The 19533-nt window shown below is 36.7% G+C and overlaps 1 protein-coding gene and 1 long non-coding RNA gene across 36 annotated transcripts in view, besides 1 other annotated feature; one reads left to right on the top strand and one right to left on the bottom strand.

Moving 5' to 3' along the window:
* ADAM22 (ADAM metallopeptidase domain 22) overlaps positions 1-19533 on the bottom strand; it is a 268639-nt gene that overhangs the window by 44616 nt on the left and 204490 nt on the right. For all 32 annotated transcript variants that reach the window (XM_017012330.3, NM_001391975.1, XM_017012335.3 and 29 more), the window contains 8 exons: positions 15149-15248; positions 13078-13149; positions 12767-12859; positions 9217-9297; positions 7243-7293; positions 6954-7017; positions 4948-5053; positions 2268-2387 (listed from right to left, as the gene is read on the bottom strand). In XM_017012330.3, the coding sequence (XP_016867819.1) occupies positions 2268-2387; positions 4948-5053; positions 6954-7017; positions 7243-7293; positions 9217-9297; positions 12767-12859; positions 13078-13149; positions 15149-15248 (687 nt within the window). The remainder of the gene's footprint in view (positions 1-2267; positions 2388-4947; positions 5054-6953; positions 7018-7242; positions 7294-9216; positions 9298-12766; positions 12860-13077; positions 13150-15148; positions 15249-19533) is intronic.
* On the top strand, positions 989-18170 carry LOC105375386 (uncharacterized). Of its 4 annotated transcripts, none has more exons than XR_007060416.1 (5): positions 989-1030; positions 1372-1451; positions 11388-11522; positions 12327-12400; positions 17884-18170. It is a non-coding gene; the product is annotated as an uncharacterized LOC105375386 (long non-coding RNA). The 4 variants fall into 4 exon arrangements; XR_007060418.1 differs by having other exon boundaries at positions 12324-12400; XR_007060417.1 differs by lacking the exons at positions 989-1030; positions 1372-1451 and adding an exon at positions 7856-8174.
* Positions 17033-17233: a silencer, noted in NCBI's record as "peak6626 fragment used in MPRA reporter construct". NCBI's record gives its function as "represses an SCP1 promoter by STARR-seq MPRAs in K562 erythroleukemia cells {active_cell/tissue: K562}" and the evidence as "EXISTENCE:reporter gene assay evidence [ECO:0000049][PMID:32103011]".

Raw genomic sequence — 19533 nt, 5'->3', positions numbered from 1 at the left:
TTGTAGGTCTCTAAGAACTTGCTTGATGAAGCTGGGTGCTCCTGTGTTGGGTGCATATATATTTAGGGTAGTTAGCTCTTCTTGTTGAATTGAACCCTCTACCATTACATAATGCCCTTCTTTGTCTTTCTGTATCTTTGTTGGCTTAAAGTCTGTTTTGTCTGAAATTAGGATTGCAACCCTGCTTTTTTTCTGATTTCCATTTGCTTGCTAGATTTTCCCACATCCTTTCATTTTGAGTCTATAGATGTCACTGCATATGAGATGGCTCTCTTGAAGACAGCACACCTTGGGGTCTTATTTTTCTCCAACTTGTCACTCTGGTGCCTTTTAAATGGGGTATTTAGGCCATTTACATTCAATCCCCATTCACTTCATTTATTTTTATCAAAATTACATATGCATATAGTTTAAAGAATCAACAGATAAATTGTTTTTAAACACAATAAAGCAGTTCTCTGCCTCTCTAGATATTCTTCCAGATACTCATCCTAGAAGAAAACCATTTTCTACTCTTAATTCATTCTTTTGTTATTTATGAAGGTCTCCTGGAGTTTCTGGCCTGCTGTTGTCTGTGCTGACTGTCCACATGTGCCGGTTTCGTAGCGCTGTAAATCTTGACTTTCGCCTCACTATCACTTGGGGATTGCCCGGTCTCTCTTTGTGGTATGTTGTTTCCTATATTCCCTGTCTTTCTCTTTCTTGGTTTACTTTGTTTTGGTGGAGTGCAATTTCTAGTACTTTCCTGAGAAATTTGTAGCATAACTAAACATGTCTTTATTTTCTACCCTCACACTTGTTTGATATTTTGCCAGAGTACAAAATTCTAGTTTGGAAATAATTTTCTCTATTGTCTTCTGACTCCCAGGGCTCCTGTTGCCAAATCCTAAACCATTTTAATTCTTAAGTCTTTGATTTTTTTCTCCTCTCTGGAAACTTCCAGAATTCTTTGCTTTGTTCTAAGGTTCTAAAATTTCATAATGATATGTTTAGATGTACCTCTAATTCCACTCATTGTATTCAGCACTTGGTGAGCCTGTTAATATGGAAACTCAAGTCCTTTATTTCTAGACAATTCTCTTGAGTTACTCATTGAAAATTTCCTCCCTGCTGTTTCCTCTGTTGTTATTGCTATCCTAATGTGTAAGATTTTCTCTATGTTCCATTTCTTTGCCTTTTTACCCTACTTTCTGGAAGATAATTTCAACTACTAAATTTTTTCTTTCTGAATGTTCCCTGTTTAAAAAAACAGCACCCTATTTTCTTGTTTCATTATAGAAGTCTCTTATCTCTCATAAATATTGATAAGTGGTTTTGTTTTTTTCCCCTTCATTGTCTCATTGTTTTTGTCTTTTTTTTTTCATGTTACAGACTTTTTTTCACATCTCTGATAATCTGCTCATATTTGAATTAGGAGACCAAATAGATGACTGGAAATCGGTACCACTGAGGTTGGACTACTTCCCTACAACCCTTATATAAATATTGCTTGCTGTCCTCCAGCTTAGAAACCTCCTCGTTTATTCTCTATAGAGTATAAAGCTCCAATCTTCCATGGGAGGGTGGCAAATCCCGTTTAGCTGAGTTGGGGAAGTAATCTGAGTATCTAACTGCTTTTTTAACAGCCTTTCATCTATTTTCTGTATTTCAGCCCCTTCCCTCCACTCCTTCCCTCCCTCTTCCTAAAGTAGATGATGCTGCCAATTTCTGAGCCTGTGGGGAAGTAAGAGTATATCTTGGATTGATTCTCAGTTTTCCTCATTACTGACTTAGGAATTCAGCTTTCTCAGCTTTGATAAGTCATGTGCCACACATCCATTTGCTTTATACATAACAAAATATTGTTGCTATTATCTCTTCTCTCTTTCTATGCCTCCCTGTGGATATATGAACTCTAAAAAAAGATCCATTTGGTATCATTTTAGTGAGATTTCATAAGGGAGCAAAAGTAGATGCATATATTTAATACACTGATTTACCTAGAAGTCCTCATTCATTTTCCAAATTCTGTAAGTTTGGAAACCAAACTCTATAAGACTTTACTGACCAATCTAAACCTAACTCTAGTAATCACACAATATTCTTCATTCAACTATTTTTTATCTTCTTTTTATCTCTTCTCTGTTAGGATTTACTCAATCGTCTCTATAGACTAGATTATATTTCGACCTACTAACATGTACATTAATTGAAAACGGAAGGAATCCTAAACTGCATTCCTGAGAAATAAGATGACTCAGATTCTTACAGAATGGTTAGATAATTACCTGCAGTTTAATGTTCTTCCTTGCTGCACAACTAAAGTAGATGTGATTTCACCATCGAGTTCTCCAAGCCTTGGGATATTGCCAATATTGGTACACAAAAGGTAACCACAAAGCACATCCCTGTATCAAAAGATTACCAATTACTTCTTTTCCCAAATATATAGCAAACCATGTACAGTTAGAATAATCTTCTCTCATTTTAGCATTTGGTTTTCATCAAGTATATTATCTACTCATATGCCAAGTGAAATAAAATAAGTCCAAATTAGTGTGCCACCTGCTCTAAAAAGTGTCTTCACTGAAACTCTTACTGATGTACCAAAATCTCAATTGTTTTCTAGCTTTTTCTTTACTGTCCATTAGTTCAAGTATTTAAAGAATCCATCAAATTGGCTTCTTTTATATTGAAATCTCTTTTCCCATAACACAATACTGGATATACTAATCTATTTCTTCTTCTTCTTCTTTTTTTTTTTTTTTTCTTAGAGTCAGGGTCTTACTCTGTTGTCCAAGTTGGAGTGTAGTGGTGTAATCATGGCTCACTGCAGCCTCAAACTCCTGATTCCAGTGGTCCTCCTGCCTCAGCCTCCCAGGTAGCTGGGACTACAGGTGTATGCTACCAGACCCAACTAACTTTTAAATTTTTCACAGAGACAGGGTCTCACTATGTTGCCCAGGCTGGCCTTGAATTCCTGACCCCAAGCAACCTCCCTCCTCACCCTCCCAAAGCACTGGGATTATAAGCATGAGATGCTGTGCCCAGACAATTTTTTTTTTAATTGGTAATTGAATGATATTTGGATGAGCATTCTTTTGGAATACAGATGTTTTTTTCAACCTGTTGCCCTAGAATTAAAGAAGAAATTATAGGCTGCATTTATTTTACAGACTGCCAACTACAAAGGCTCATTATCCTTTCTTCAATATATTTCAGTACTTCCCCAACTATTACATATGATTCTAACTTAACTTATAAAATATCTTTACTGTTGTTAATACTATCTTACATATTATTTATATCCAACACATTTTAATTATTAGTAGAGATAACAATAAACATATTTTTAAAATATCTTGTGAAGAGTAATTAGTAAGTCAGCAAGATTATATACAAAAGTATCAGACTTTACCACATGGAGAAAAAAGAAAAATTAGAACCTGTATTTTTCACCAACATAGAAAAGAATGTATTACTTTATTCTTTAAAAATGCTTTTTAAAATTATGTTATCATTTTACTGTATCTATCATAAACAAAAATGCTTTCTCAACAGAGAAGAGATATTCATTCAAAACTTTTTTGAATGTCATTTATGTATATGAACCTATGTAATCAGGATATATAAAGACAATTAGATATGATCTTTATTCACAAGAAAATTATACTCTAAATAAGAAGATAAATCACACACATAAACAACTTATAAAACAAAATTACGGACAAATAAGTACAAAGGGCTGTGGAAGTTCAAAGAAGAGAGAGATAATTTATTTCTAGAGTAAATCATAAAGAAATTTATATATAGAAAGTGTTTCCCAAGCTGGGCTTTGAAGAATAGGTATATTTTTGGCTGATGATGGTATGAGTTAAAGGGTGCTTCTGGAGGATTATAGAGCATAAATGTAGGCATGGAGGTAGGGACATATTCGGAATGGTAAGGTTTGCTAGATTTGGAAGAATATAAATGAAATGACAAAAAGTGTAGGTTGGGGACAATTGTTGAATAGGTGCAGTGCCAAGCTAAGGTTCCATTTAATTTGTTAACAAGACTATGACATTCAGCAAAATGGTGAAGAGAGAGTTCTGAAATCATACTCTCCAAATTCTAATTCTGCTTATTATTACATCCCATATACATGACTTCGGACAAATTAACTGTGTCTCAGTTTCCTCCTCCATAAAATGGGAGGACTGCCATGAAGATTAAATGGCATAGCTTATGTAAAGTGTGATACAGTGCTTAGCACACAGTGTTCACTCAATCAGTGCTGGGTACTGTTCTCACTATTAATTAGTCATGTGGAACCAGTGAACTTTCAACAAAGAATTGACAGTAAAAAAGACCCAAAAGATTATTCTGATAGTAGTACACTAGGGAATGCTGGCACAGAAAACTGTTAAAAGAATTTTGTAATAGTTGAAGGATTAATATAGGTCTTAGTTCAGGTAATGGTAATAGGAACGTAAGTGAATACATGAATTAAAGACAAATGGTGGCAAAGCAAAGGGAAGAATGGATGTAATTTAGCATTTGGACAATGTGTAGAGGGAAGGATCACTTTAAGGCTTCTAGACAGAAGGACAGTGAAATATTGAGACCTTTGGCAAAAAGGGGGTGGTTTGGGAAAGTTAGAGCCAGTTAATTCAATTCAACAGCACTCAGTGCATATTCTGGTGGCTTTAAGTTCTTTTGCCTTTGAGATGCTAAAAGGTGTCTTCTAGGTAAGAAAATCCTGAGGTGGGGGCAAGTATGACCTGGGCCTTAGGAGAGAGGTGAGCACACATGTTCAAGATTTGGAAGCCCTCTGCACAGGTGATGCTGGAACACTGGGAAGAGATGAGGTTAAGGAGGCAAGAGCACACTTTGTGTGATGCAGAAAGCAGAAACTTCCTAGTCACTCAAAAAAGTACACTTGTAATTGACCAAGGGATGAATTCTGGGCTGACGTCTCCACCTCACCGTTTGTTGCACTGTATCCATGTGTCTTTGTCTTTCCCACAGTTACCCTTCTCCGTCCCTTCAATATTCAGTTTCTCATAGCAATATTTGTCTGATGCTGTCACCTCTAAGGCAGAAAAAAATTTTCTATCAGTGAGGGAAGTACGATTTGGCTGCTCAAAAGCTTTGCAGAAAAGAAAAATTGTAATATAAGGACTCTTCATCACTACAGTGTTATCAATTCCAAAAATGTTACCAACGAACGGTTCACAGTTTTACCATGGATCATATATATCCATGACTCAGATAGGTTTTCATTAAAGCTCATTTGAAATTTAGTAAACAAATGTATTTAGTTCTCTGTTGGGACTCAGGCTGTAGGCTACAAAAACAAACACTCCTTAGAATTTGGCCAATAATTCGGGCAGATCATGAAGTCAGGAGATCGAGACCACCCTGGCCAACATGGTGAAACCCCGTCTCTACTAAAATACAAAAAAAATTAGCTGGGTGTGGTGGTGTGCACCTGTAGTCCCAGCTACTTGGGAGGCTGAGGCAGGGAAATCGCTTGAACCCGGGAGGCAGAGGGTGCAGTGAGCTGAGATCACATCACTGCACTCCAGCCTGGCAACAAAGCAAGACTCCATCTCAACAACAACAACAACAACAACAAAAGAATTTGGCCAATAATTAGGGAAGGCAATAACAAATATTTCCTTGAATATATACTCTATTCTTTAATCTCAGTGCTAAATATAATACATGAATTTCTCATTCAGCATATTTTGTTAATCATAAAGACAAGTTTATTATAATAGTTATATCCTGTAATTAGATTCAAGAAACAGTGGTACAATTTCTACCTTGCTCCCCACTTCTTAGCAGCTATCAAAAGCAATTTTACTTTGCTTTAAGACAAGCTTGAATTCATGCTAAATCTCTGGAAGTCAAATAACATTTTAAGGTATATCAGTATCTTTTTCAGGCTTTTATCTTTTCTAAAACCAGGGACAGTTGATAGAGTTATCTAAGAATTAGGACAAAATGCAAACTAATCAAAGGATAATTGTTGGTATATTTTTAAAAAAAACAATAGTTATGTCGGTAGTTATGTTTCCTACTTCTTGTTGTCAGCTACTATTTTTGCTCAAGTGGATAAAACAAAAATGATATCTTTTTTCGGAGTACAAACCTGCCTGACTAAATGTTTTCCCATCCCAATGTTTCCAATTGCTTAAAGAGAGCATACACTTCCCCTCCTAAAAGGATTGTGGCACCTACTTATAACTATTAAGAATTATCATTATTTTTATAGCCTTTTTCCTACTACAAATTGTCTCCTGAAACAGTTTAAAACAAAAACTGCTTCCAAAAGTTTGGGCTAGTAGTACTTCTAGGAAACAATACATTACTCAACATTTAAATAAACATTTAAATAGAGTATAATTTAAATCTAAATATCATATATTTTCCTTTGAAAATCTGACAGACTTTAAAGGCTAAACATTAACATTTCTTTCTGATACAGCAAAGCCACTTTAGCAGAAGTGCGTAACTAGGAAAGCCAACTAGAGTTTAAGAAAAATATCCAAGGAGGAAAAAAATGACTCTAGATAAAATGCTGCTGTTCTAAGTTAAGGACGTCCTGTCCAGGGTCCACGTCCATCCCATATGGTTGTGAAGCTTTAGCTTCAGGGCACTCAGCTGAGAAGAGTATACATGGAGCTGAAATCCAGGTTTGCTCTATTCTCCAAGCTGTGCACCCTGGCATGGGCTCCATCTGCCTGGCAGCAAAGGCACTTTCTGTCTCGTCCACAGGCACTGCCAACTAGCCAAGATGTGTGGGGCTGCTTCTCAAAGGGGTGCCTTACTCTAATTTCCAGAAACATGCCCCTGCTAAGACCTGTGGTAGCTTTGAGAATCCCCCAGTCATAAAGTAGTCAAAAATTTACTTCCAGCACACACGTCCTTGAGAAGTCCGCCTGACATCATGCTTTAACAATGATCAAGCCACACTATTTACTTACTTTGCCCCCAAATGTATTTGCATTGTCTATCTCTGGTTTTGCATCTTCCTCCAAAGCAAATTCCCTAAAACGGAAAAGCAAATACCCATTAGCGATGCAATATCTGCTTATGTCAGATAACTGAAAAAGAAACTATGATTGGGAAAAATAATAGATGAATAGTAGAGAGGCCTTTTATCTTCAGAATTGATTACAAACATTTAAATTGATCTTCCTATTTTGATAAGATTTCAGTATTCCTTTCATGCTGGTACATGTGAAAAACATAGGTAAAAATGAAGTGACCTACCTGAACACCATCACATGAATATCCATCCATTTTATGAATATTAGGGGCACACTAGGAAAAAGAGAACAACTATGAATGAAATGCAGTGCAAAATATAAGGCTGAGCTAAACCCTTTAATGTTTTCACTTTTAAAAACATATTTGTTAATATGGCTAGTCCCTTATACCATCTATAAAACAAAATGCAAAGGAGGTCAAGAGCAAGTGGATGTCCTTGAAGTCTGGGTATTTGGTAAAAAATAAATTAAAAAAATAAAAGAGAAAGCAAGAGGAAAAACAATGGGTACACTTGCCCCTGAAAATATGAATCTACCAGAGGCAAAAACAGTTGATTACATAGCAGCAAATAAAAAGAACTGACTACCATAGACTCAATTAATGATACATTTAAAAGTATCTTGATTCATACAGATATACTATTTTTCAGAGCAAGAAAGAGAAGGGGACAATAAACAAAGAGTAAGTCTGCATAAATGGAGCAATAACTAGTTTCCTTTCTTTTGCCATGAGAAGAAACATAGCCCTTATACTAAAAATAATGACTTTCAAGCCAAAGTCCACTTTAAGAATGTCAGAAAAGGGCACACTTTATAATCCTTTTTTCCTTGCAGCAATTATGAAAAATTATAAGGCAATATTGAATGAGTATAAACAGACAGCAAAGCATGCAATTATGTTGCCTCTTTGTCTTCTGATGATATCATGTGCCATTTTGCAAAAACGGAATACCAAGAGAGGAAACTGGCCAACAGAGATGAAAGTGCAGCAAAGAAAAGTGATGACACCAGAAGTGAAATGCAAATTGAACTTGTAAATGGAGTTACAGAAAAAAATTGCTGACTGTGGGAATGTCAATATTGCTGTTCAAGAGCCTCTAGACATGCAACCAGAGGAACTTGCTGAAGGAGGACTTAATGACATCGGTGAATAAGGTGATTGTGACATATAGGTGACGATGTCCCAGAGGGGGTAACGCCAGCAAGAAACTTCACATTCACATCTTCACATCTCTCAGGGATATCTCATGACATTGAAAGCACAAAGAATAAAATGTTGTAAAATGTTGAAAGCTGATCCAAACTTAGAAAAGGGTGTGACAGTTCAACAAGGCATAGAAAATATGCTCACTCTATATCATAAAGCTTATAAGAAGGCAAGCTCTATTCAAACTACTCCTAAGGTTTTTACAAAGAAATAAAATCCTTTAATTCTCAATGTTTCTCTTTTAATGTACAGTATGCTAAATAAATACTATTCTTTCACCTTCCTATCCATTTAAAACCAACAGTAAGAGAGTTTTTAATAATCTGACAGCATTTTTTGAGGACTGCAAAACAAGTGCAGTATTTTCCTTTGATTATTAAAATGACTTTGCATAGTCTCAGCTTGCATGGTCATTTTTATGGTTTGGCACTACCCTTCAAAGTGAGGACCGTCTGTATGTACAGTGACCATTTTGAAATCTGTGAACTCCCACCAAAGTTTATTCAATTTCTCTAGCTTGTCTATCTATAACTAAGTGCTATAAAATTCAAGAGCAGCTATTGATGGCTGAGGCGATGCAAGCTATCATAGATAAGAGTCAAGAGAAAGAAAAGGGTCCTCTCTAAGAATCCAGTGTGTTTGTGAGTCCCTGCCTCCACTGACTTCTTGTTCAATCAGCTGAAGAGAGTTTATTTGTTTCTTCCTTTACTAAGTAGATGAAAAGAAAATGCCTTGTACTACCTACTTAATACAAAAACAAAATAGTTAAGGCATGCACGCAGTCTGAGGTTAGTTCAACGTTAAGACAAAATTATGTTCAAAATCTGCTCAAGCTTCAATCACTGAAACTTAAATTCCTAAAAAAAATGGAGAAATGATGTGAAAGAGACACGAGCATCTTGTTCATTTACATTTCTCTTTGAGGGTCAGTGCACTAAAGATACCCCCACTTTTTCCCATAAGTTTTAGAGCAGTTATTTTGTAAATTACCTGGCTTGAATTTCCTGAGCACGTTTCACGAATATCACAATCATTTACTGCTTCTCGGCACACAGTGCCCATAGGCTGAAACTAAAATGAACAAAAATCAACGTGTGAAACTGTAGGGAGAAAAAAAAATCTTACAATATCATCTAAAAAAAACAAAATGAAAATTGTTTGGCTAGAAATACCTTAAACTACTGTAAGATGGTAATCTGTCAAAACCACAGTTACTGAAAAAAATTTTATTTTAATAGTTTTAAGAAACAGTTTCTTGTGTATGATGTAATTTCCATAGTCATTACACATAAGCCTTATATTATACTGCTAAATTCCACAAGACAGGCCAGTTAGTCCAGGTTCTAGTAATTTTTCTGTACTAATAGCTTTTGAATTTACCCTTTACTCTTCATTCTCACCGACACTTTTATCACATTATCCTTTTCTGCCTTATCTACCAAGAATCAAAAAATTACATTTTGGGTTGAACCACAAAAATTAGATTTTCTGACAAAGCTATTTCCTCCCATGTTTCTTCTACCCTTCTTCTCCCCTGCCTCATTTTTACATGGATTTAGATCTTGGTCTTTTATTATTTTCTAGTGTTTCTATTATTTAAGTCTTCATATAGGCATTTTTGTTTTTCTGTTTTCCATCATCTCAAATACTTCTTGCAAGTGTGAGAGTTATACAAATAAATGTTTAACTTCATTAGGTTAAAAATGTGAATTGCAGGAGTACTCATTAAAATGAAACAGACCTGAGATATATAGTTAAAGTACTTCCCCTTCCCTTCTCAATCCTTCTCTTTTTCTCTATCCAAAATGTTAGCATTCAGGGCTGTATCCTTACATGCTTTGTGTCTGCTCACACAAAGGCACATGTTATTCTGCTTCCCTCACTTTCTAGATAAGCTTTATCTTCTCTAGCTGCTCAGAACTCTACAGGCATTTGAGTCTCCTGCTGTTCCTAGAACATGCACTGCCCACTATAAACTCCAATCTGGATTTCAACAAGTATTTTTTTTTAGAAGACCCAAACAAAATATGTATTCATTCATCCATTCATCAAATATTTAATAACGTGCCAAGCACTGTTCTAACTACTGGGAACTCAATGGAGAACAAAACACAAGAACCCTGCTCATCAGGAACTTGCATCTTAATGTGGGTTAAAAATAAGGAAATAAGAAAATTTAATTTCACGTTTCTCTTCTTCCTTGGGACTAAGACAAGCCAACATTTTAGAATATCTAGGGTAGAAATATGAGCAAATTTGGGGTAGTTTAGAGGAGTGCATAATGTTCAAGAAGTTCCAGGAAACTTCTAAAAGAAAGAATAGGGAGGGAGGATTTGCACTAAGTGCTAGGATACAGCAGTATATAAATCAACCAAAATCCTTGCCAATAAATACCCTTGTATTATAATGGGAGAAGAAAAGTAATAAACAAGTAAACAAGCACTCTTTAACAGCAGTGGTCTGCAAACTGTGGCCCATGGGTCAAACTTCACTGATTGCCTATCTTTATAAATAAAGTTTTATTGGAACACAGCTATGCCCATTTGTTTCTGTATTTTCAAAGGCTGCTTTCAAAGGCAGAGCTGAGCTGCAACAGAAACTTTATGATCACAAAGCCTAAACTATTTACTATCTGGCTCTTTATAGAAAAAGCATGCCAATGCTGGCTTATAGATACACTATTATAAATACAGGTAGAAAAAAATAGAGATACACACAGTTTCTTATCTTTTTCTTCTATTCTCCCTCCTCCATTCACTGTCCTGCCTCTGGCTGCCCTAGGAGTCTAGGGTGGCAGGTGAGAGTTAGGGAGGATGGTAAAGAAAGTGGCAAAAAAGATCTCACTTGACTCTTGACTGGTACAGCTATAACTTACTTTGAGGGATGGCAGTCATGCCATTTTATTTTATGTATTTTAATAGTATTATTTTCTACTTGTTCCTTGAAATAATTATATCACAGGGAGCCTAGTTGTATAAATCAAAGGGAAAACAGTGTAATTAAATGCATTTTGTAGATGGGCAGACTTAAAACATTGAGGATTAAGATAAATAATTCAGGATGTCTTGTTACGGCAGTGGAAAAAGCTGACAGAATAAACAGGGGTGGTAGCCAAAATCAAAGAATGTCTTTCACATTTGGTTTAATCTTCTTTTTAACAGAGTGCTTTCAGAGATCTCTGCCAGTGCCTGCTCGTCTTAAAAAGCTGCCAGGAGACACAGTGGTAGAGTGGAAACAACAGAAACTGCTGCCAGCAGATCTGGGGCATAACTGTACATCTATTCCTTACTGGCTAAGTGAGCCTGTATAGAGGTTATTTAACTTCCTTGAGACTGAGTTTGCTTAACTGTAAAAATCAAGATAATAATGCCCATCCCAAAAGTGTGCTTGTGAGCATTATCTCAGAGAGTGGTCTCCACCAGGGGTGATTTTACCCACAAGGGAACATTTGGCAGTGTCTGGGGACATTTTTGGCTGTCCCATCTAGGAGGGGTGCTGCTGGCACCTAATGGGTGGAATGCAGAGATACTGCTAAATATTCTACAATGCACAAGACATACCCTTACAACAAAGGATTATCCAGCCAAAAATGTCAATAGTGCCAGAGTTGAGAAATTCAGATATAAGATGATACAAAAGTCCTTAGCATAATCTCTGGCACACAGTAGATACTTACTATGATAGTTTCATATCCCATCCTCCTTTAACTCTTTAAAGTTACTCAATCAGCAAATTATCACTAAGAGAGTGCATATTTATTCATTCACTCAACAAATATTTACTGAGAATGTATACCAATTACTGTCTAAGTGCCTGGCTCTGCTCCATGAAATGTACAGAGTAAAGTGAGAGACAGATAGAAATAACGTAGACTATTACACCAGATTTTGTATGAGAAAACAAGAATTAGATTTCTTTAGGGGAAGTAAGCCTCAAATGTTAGTATTGATGTAAAGGCTTAAATATTTGGAGATAGGTATGAGGATGCTGCTGGGAGGATGAAAACATAAAGTGTGTAAAGATGCATTCTAAACTTGCAGGACCAATAATATATGCATGGTATTATCATGTCTCAAAGTACTCCCTTGTTTCCTCAGCAGCTAATGCAAGAGATACACCAAGCTGAGCAACAAGAAAAGATCTACTGAAAGTCTCCTTGGCTTTACCAAGAAAGGTAAACATCATTTAAACATTAGTAACACCTGGTTTCATTTAATGTGCATGCTCCACAGAAAGTATGGAAAGGACAGCCTCTGAAGATTAACAGGGTTCAGGCCCTAGTTCCCCAACTTACTTGGTGTAAGACCTTGGGCAAACTACTTAACCACTACAAGCCTTAGTATTCTCATCTTTTAGATGGGAATAATAATAAGCAACTACACCACACAAGATTTTGTGAAGATCCTATAAAGCACCTGGCACTTACTCATTTAATATATGTTAGATACTATTTCTGTTATTAGATTATATTTACCCAGCCTTAATGATTTAATCAAGTATGTCCTTTTTTTCTGTCAAATGGTCATTAATGTTTATTTACCTTGCACTTTTTACAGCAAAGACCGTCACTGCATTGAGAGTCTTGAGTCAAGGTGCATTTCTTACAACACTCTGCTCCTTCAAGGACACATTCCTAAGGAATATAAACATTTTCAAAACATCAGAAAACGGTGTCACTTTCCTGAAAGTAACAGGATATTTTCTAAAATAAATGTACAAACTCACAATAATTTTTCTTCCACAAATCCTATAAAATTCCAGGCATGACATTTGCTCCATACATCTCAGTGTGTGGACCTGGAATGACCCTGAATTACCTAGAAAATATCATCAAAACAACCAGAGACTTACGGCCGGGGTTCCACAATCACACTCCTCTCCAGTTTCAATGAAGCCATTGCCACACTCAGGAGGATCAAGAAGCTGTGAGGAAAACCAAAAAGTGAACTAAAATATAGAAAAATCAACATCAAAGACTTTGAGAGACCATAAGTGCCATACCCAAATATACCTGCCCTGCCAGTCATTCTAAAATATAGTTTTATTTTCCTAAACTAGAAAGCATGAGCTCAGAACTTGGAACTTTAAAACAGAAGTGTCTACTTCTGTTTCCTTTTCATATTTAATATACATAGTAAATAGTTTACCTATATATTTATATATATAACATACACACCACATAGGGTCTGGTAAATGTCATCAAAATTAAAGATGATCTAACCATTCACTAAAATCAAGCCAGAGTCTCTCCTGAAAATTCATTTCAAACTGGAAGCAGGGGAATTTGGAGTCAGATGTCTAGATTAAAATCTTGGCTCAAGTACTTACGTTGGGTAAACTATTTAATATCTCAGAGAACTTAATATCTAAAACAGGAATAATAATAATAATAATAGTTGTCCATCCACATCAGAAAATTGTTCAGGATTAAGTTTAGTCATCTGTGAAAAAACCCTTTATTACTATATCTCCTTCTGATACAGGAAACTATTTCATAGACAATGAGAAAAGCATCAAAAAATTAGTATATCCATTGATCGACTTAATAAAAAATACAGCTCCTCCTATTAAGATAGTTTTGCAGCGAACTAAAATTAAATTTTCCCCAGAGATTGAAGCAAATTTTGGCCTGTCCAAGAGTATGTTTTAGGTCTGTTTTATTGTTTAGCTCTTCATCAACTTTGTTCTCTTTTGAATATAATGTATCCTATGGTGACAGGCAAAATTAGTAAATAATTGTTATATGCCAGATACCTAATATTCATTCAAAAGCTAATCAAAGTTTACGTATTATAGAATGAAAATGTACACACACCAGTAAACAGATGGATACACACGTGCACACATACACTTTCATAACTAATTAGAGGAAAAAAACAACAAAATAAAGAATATATACAACAACAACAAAACCCACTTGATTTTAAATATTCTCTCTTCTACAAATGAGTCAACTTTTGTCTATATTTCATTTTTGGTCGAAACTGATCATAACAAATAAAAAACAGCAAAAATGGAAACTTATCCAAATGATAACCACACTTATTCTCTTACTCTGGGTTTATAATAATCAATTATTTTGGTAAAAAGACTTGAACTGTTTAGTATTTATGGCAGCAGTGATACAGTTCAAATGTTCTTTCCAATCTTTCGAAGAGTCTTAAAATTGTCAATTTGCTTCGCAATTCAGTATGATACATTTTCTAAATTACACTGTAGTGAACAGAAAATTAAACCAGGTAAATTAAATGATTACAAAGGCAATGGTGCATATCCCTGTGGTGCACAGAAGCATTTCACAGTTCACATAATTCGCAAGGACAAAGCATTCTTTTTTAACATGCAAAGTCTTCAAAATGCAGGAGGAAGACCTTCTTTCTAGTCAGTAACCAGAGGATGTGCTGCAAGTTGTAAAAGCCTGTGACAAAGTCCAAGACTTTCTCCATTTCTGCTTTAAGAAGACTTGTTTTTCATACTGAGAAATACTTGTAATTTTAACATACTGCTCATTCAGAAAGGCAGTGATAGGGAGTGATGAGGGTAGATAAGCCCCCACCTTCTACCTGTATGAGTTGTGATTAGGTAACCAAAAAAAATAAACATCAAGAAAATAAAAAAGAAAAGTAATAAAACCATTTTTGTAAACTAACTCTGAATCATCACTTGGCTATATAAAAAGAAAGTGGAAATTTTTCAGACAGCAAACACTTATTTCTACCTGCTTTCTATTCCCATCAGAATAGCCCAAAATGCCCAACATTAAAGCTGACTTTGAATATGCAGATATATAGCATATCTAGAATATGTACATACAGGGCAAGTTGAAAAGCTCTCTAAGATTCAATAGCTGAAAATGTGTATTTGTAATATTTTAGAAAGGTTGATAATTAATATTATAAACCTTATTAACCACACTTATTACCTTAGAAGGTTTGTTGAAAAGGCAGGCACCACCTCCACTATTCAGGAAGTCATGATACTCTTCAATATTACACTGGGTGAACTTTTTAGGAAGATAATAGCTATAAAAGAGAAGAAAAGCAATAGCTGGGTTCAACTCATCTTTCTCATTTGTGAATGTCTGAAAACTGAAGACTTAAAATTGTATATTACTCTTTAAAATGAGGGAATAAAGTCTACTTATGTATGACATTTATATTCAATCTATAAGAGTTTTGTTCAGTCAATATTATTTCTTTTTTTTTTTTTTGAGACGGAGTCTAGCTCTGTCGCCCAGGCTGGAGTGCAGTGGCACGATCTTGGCTCACTGCAAGCTCCACCTCCCGGGTTCACGCCATTCTCCTGCCTCAGCCTCCCGAGTAGCTGGGACTACAGGCGCCCGCCACCATGCCCAGCTAATTTTTTGTATTTTTAGTAGAGACGGGGTTTCATCGTGTTAGCCAGGATGGTCTCGATCTCCTGACTTTGTGATCCGCCCGCCTCGGCCTCCCAAAGTGCTGGGATTACAGGTGTGAGCCACCACGCCCGGCCAATCAATATTATTTTTAAATTCCTCATTTGGTGACTAATAGTTACTGTGGGTTTTTCATTATTTGCATGTGCATTCAAGTTAAATCAAGGAGAGTTGGGAAAAATTTATTTTATAATGAGTCTTCCCTAAATATTAAAACTGAGCTAGAATCCAAACTGCAGAGCATTCCACAAAATAACTGACCTATAATATAAATATGTCAGGTCTTAAAAGTCAAAGAAAGAGGAGCTGTTCCAGACTGAAAGAAGCTAAAGAGACACAAAAACCAAATGTGATTCCTTTTGCTACAAATGACAGTATTGAAACCTGGGACAATCCTGAATGATGGCTAAGAATTAGATAATTTTACTGGTTGTATAGTGGTTATGTAGGAGGATGTACTTCTTTGTAGAAAATGCAAAGTAAGGTATTTAGGAGTAATGGCATACTAAGCAATTTATGATCCACCGGACAAAAAGTTTCTTTGTTATTAATCTTGCAACTCTTCTTCAGGTTTGAGGTTTTTTTTAAAAAAATGTATTCTTAAAAAAACTAATAAAAGGTCAATAGAAAAAAGATCTTGATTAGAGAATAATTTGGCAACATGCATTAAGAATCTTCAAAAAGAGCACACCTTTGGATCTAGTAATTCTACTTTTAGAAATTTTTCTTGAGGAAATGATTGGCTACGTGCACAAAGATGTACGAACAAAGATATTTGTGGTGGCACAATTTATAACAGGATATAACGAAAGCATAACCTAAATGTTCAACAGTAAGAACTGTTAACTAAACTGTGATATATATATAACTAAACTGTGATATATATTAATAAAACAGAATACCATGTAGTTATTAATGATCATAGTATTGAAGAACAGACTCAGAAAAATGCTGACTATACAGTGTTAAATACTGAATTAAAATACAGCAGTATTTTAATATCAACCATGGTTATTACTGGAGAAAAGCCACCAAGATTTTATTTTCTATATTTTTTAAATATTGTTTTACATTGAGCTTTGATAAAAAGGGAAAAAAAACAAGGTAAGAATGAGTAGTTTTTATAAAGTTTCCCAGTAGCCTGCAAAAACTGTCCATTTATATCCCTACTTCTTCTAAACACAGTAGTTAATACTTTGTTATTAATTAATGGAATTTATAATGATTATTTACCCTAAACTCATTTTTAAAGGGCTTCATGCCAAACTCTCCAAATAAAGCTGTCTTGGGTTTAAGTTGTCTGAACTCCTTTACTTCCTTCACCTCCACTTCCTCTAAGCAGACAAGGAGGGTTTCCAGATACTACAGGAATTTAATCAACTTGAGCAATCAGCCTGTTTTACAGCCTCCTGCCTTGCAGCCTGCTCTTTCCCACACTTTGTGTGGAATGTGGTCACCTAGTCAGCTGGAACCAGCTCCCGACAAACACTGACAATTTATAAATGAACCCAAGTAAACTTTCCTCATTACCATGCTAAAGTCTCCACCACGGGAGGAACCATAGCTTCATTACTATAACTTGAAACCTATGTGCTGGCATAATGATTCACTGCATCTGCACCACTGGGACCCCTCCTCTGCATGCAATGACACACCCTCTCCCCCCTCCACCTCCCCATAAAACCCTCCTGTTGCTTTCCCTCAGGAAGACACTCGTCTAGTGAATACTCTCAGAGCTCTCTTTACTTGTGACTAGTAATAAAACTCTCACTGATCAAAACCTGCATTTTCTTTTTTCAGGCAGGGGTCTCACTCTGTTGCCCAGGCTGGAGTGCAGTGGTGTGATCTCCACTCACTGCAGCCTGGACCTCCTGGGGTCAAGTGATTCTCCCACCTCAGCCTCCCGAGTAGCTGGGACTACAGGCATGTGCCACCATGCCCAGCTAATTTTTAAGTTTGTACAAAGTTTCCCCACGTTGCCCAGGCTGGTCTCGAACTCCTGGGCTCAAGCGATCCTCCCAAAGTTCTGGGATTATAGGCATGAGCCACTGGGCCAGCCAAAACTTGCATTCCTGTGAAGAGTTGTTTGTTCTTGCCAGGCAAAGGAACCAGGTTTTTTTCAAGTAACAAATTCTGACAAGACAAACTTTATTCTTCATTTGAAAGTTTCTTACACACATTGTGGCTGCATCAGACCAATCTGGTTCAACTTTTATGTAATAATGTTATGAATTGTTTTTCAGTTGCCGTGGACCCTTAGGTCACATAGCCTGACCATGCTCAGATGAACCAATGGTGCAACCACAGGAGGAACCTAAGTGCTCAGCTGAGAAGCAGGGACTGAATCAAGCAGCAGACACGATGATAAAGTTTGGATGTTTGTCCCCTCAAAATCTCATGTTAAAATATGACCCCAATGTTGAGAGTGGGGTCTAATGAGGGAGTCCTCCCAAGAATGGCTTAGTGCCCTCCAAGAGGAAATGGCTGGTAATAAGTTTACACGAGATTCGGTTGTTAAAAAGAGCCTAGCACCCCCTCCCTTCTCCCCTGCTCCCTCTCTTGCCATGTGACACACCTGCTTCCCCTTGCCTTCTACCATGAGTAAAAGCTTCCTGAGATCTCACCAGAAGCCAAGCAGATGCTGGTGCCATGCTTGTACAGCCTGCAGAACTGTGAGCCAAGTAAGCCTCTTTTCTTTATAAATTACCCAATCTCAGGTTTTCATTTATAACAATGAAAAACAAACTAATATACACTGAATGACAGGATCCAGTATCCAATCAGATTGAGCTCTGGCATCCAGTCCGATCATGCCTCCCAGCACCACCTCATTGCAAGATCCAATCAGATCACACCTCATTACCCTATGCTTATAAAACCTGACACAGCCTCCAGCTCAGGGATACACTGCTTTGGGAACTATCCATGGTATTCTACTTGCTTGTTAAAAGTAATAAAATCCCTTTCATTTAATCTTCCTTGGTTATGATAATTAAGTTGATACCCAGTAAGTGACCAACCAAGCCATCTGTTTCATGGTAACAATATTACTTCCTTTTTTCCTTGCAATGCTTTTACTCCAGCCAATGTTTTTATCACCTTTTCCTCTAATCTATCCAACATATCTCTGCCAGAGTTATCAAATTTAAATAGGTCTTTTTTCAAAGCCCCTCCTTTTATTTATTTATTTATTTATTTATTTATTTATTTATTTAGAGATGGAGTCTCACTCTTGTCACCCAGGCTGGAGTGCAGTGGCATGATCTTGGCTCATTGCAACCTCTGCCTCCTGGGTTCAAGCAATTTTCCTGCCTCAGCCTCCTTAGTAGCTGGGATTAGAGGCGCCTGCCATCATATCCAGCTAATTTTTGTACTTTTAGTAGAGACGGGGTTTCGCCATGTTGGCCAGGCTGGTCTCGAACTCCTGACCTCAGAGGATCCACCCACCTCGGCCTCCCAAAGTGCTGGGATTACAGGCGTGAGCCACCATGCCCAGCCCCAAAGTCCCTCTTTATCCTACTGGTCAAAACCTGAGTTGGATCCATACTGCCAAAGTAAAAAGTCACTAACTCTTAGTGTAGGACTCTTAGAAGTCAAAGTCTAGTTAAGCCTCCTACAAAGAGGCCTCTCTGTAAAAGCACCCTCAGGGGTCACAGCCAAGCCCACCCTCCTGCCCACTGCAGAGCTGGGAGGAAGCTCAGTCTGTTCTCCAACCCTTGGCAGTGACAGTAAACTCCCCAACAGGGAAGCTTTTAAAATATATGAACAGTTGAACATTTGTGGATTGTTCTTACCTTTATTTTGCCACATCTGACCTCTAACTTCTGAACAGTTCTGTATTCTTAACTATGTAAAGTCTTATTCCTCTGCCTTAACATAGCCCCTTCAATTAT

The sequence above is a fragment of the Homo sapiens genome, chromosome 7, assembly GCF_000001405.40.
Source record: "Homo sapiens chromosome 7, GRCh38.p14 Primary Assembly".
NCBI classification, from domain to species: domain Eukaryota; kingdom Metazoa; phylum Chordata; class Mammalia; order Primates; family Hominidae; genus Homo; species Homo sapiens.
Note: the sequence above shows the minus strand (reverse complement) of the source record. Positions and strands in the feature narration are given on the sequence as shown.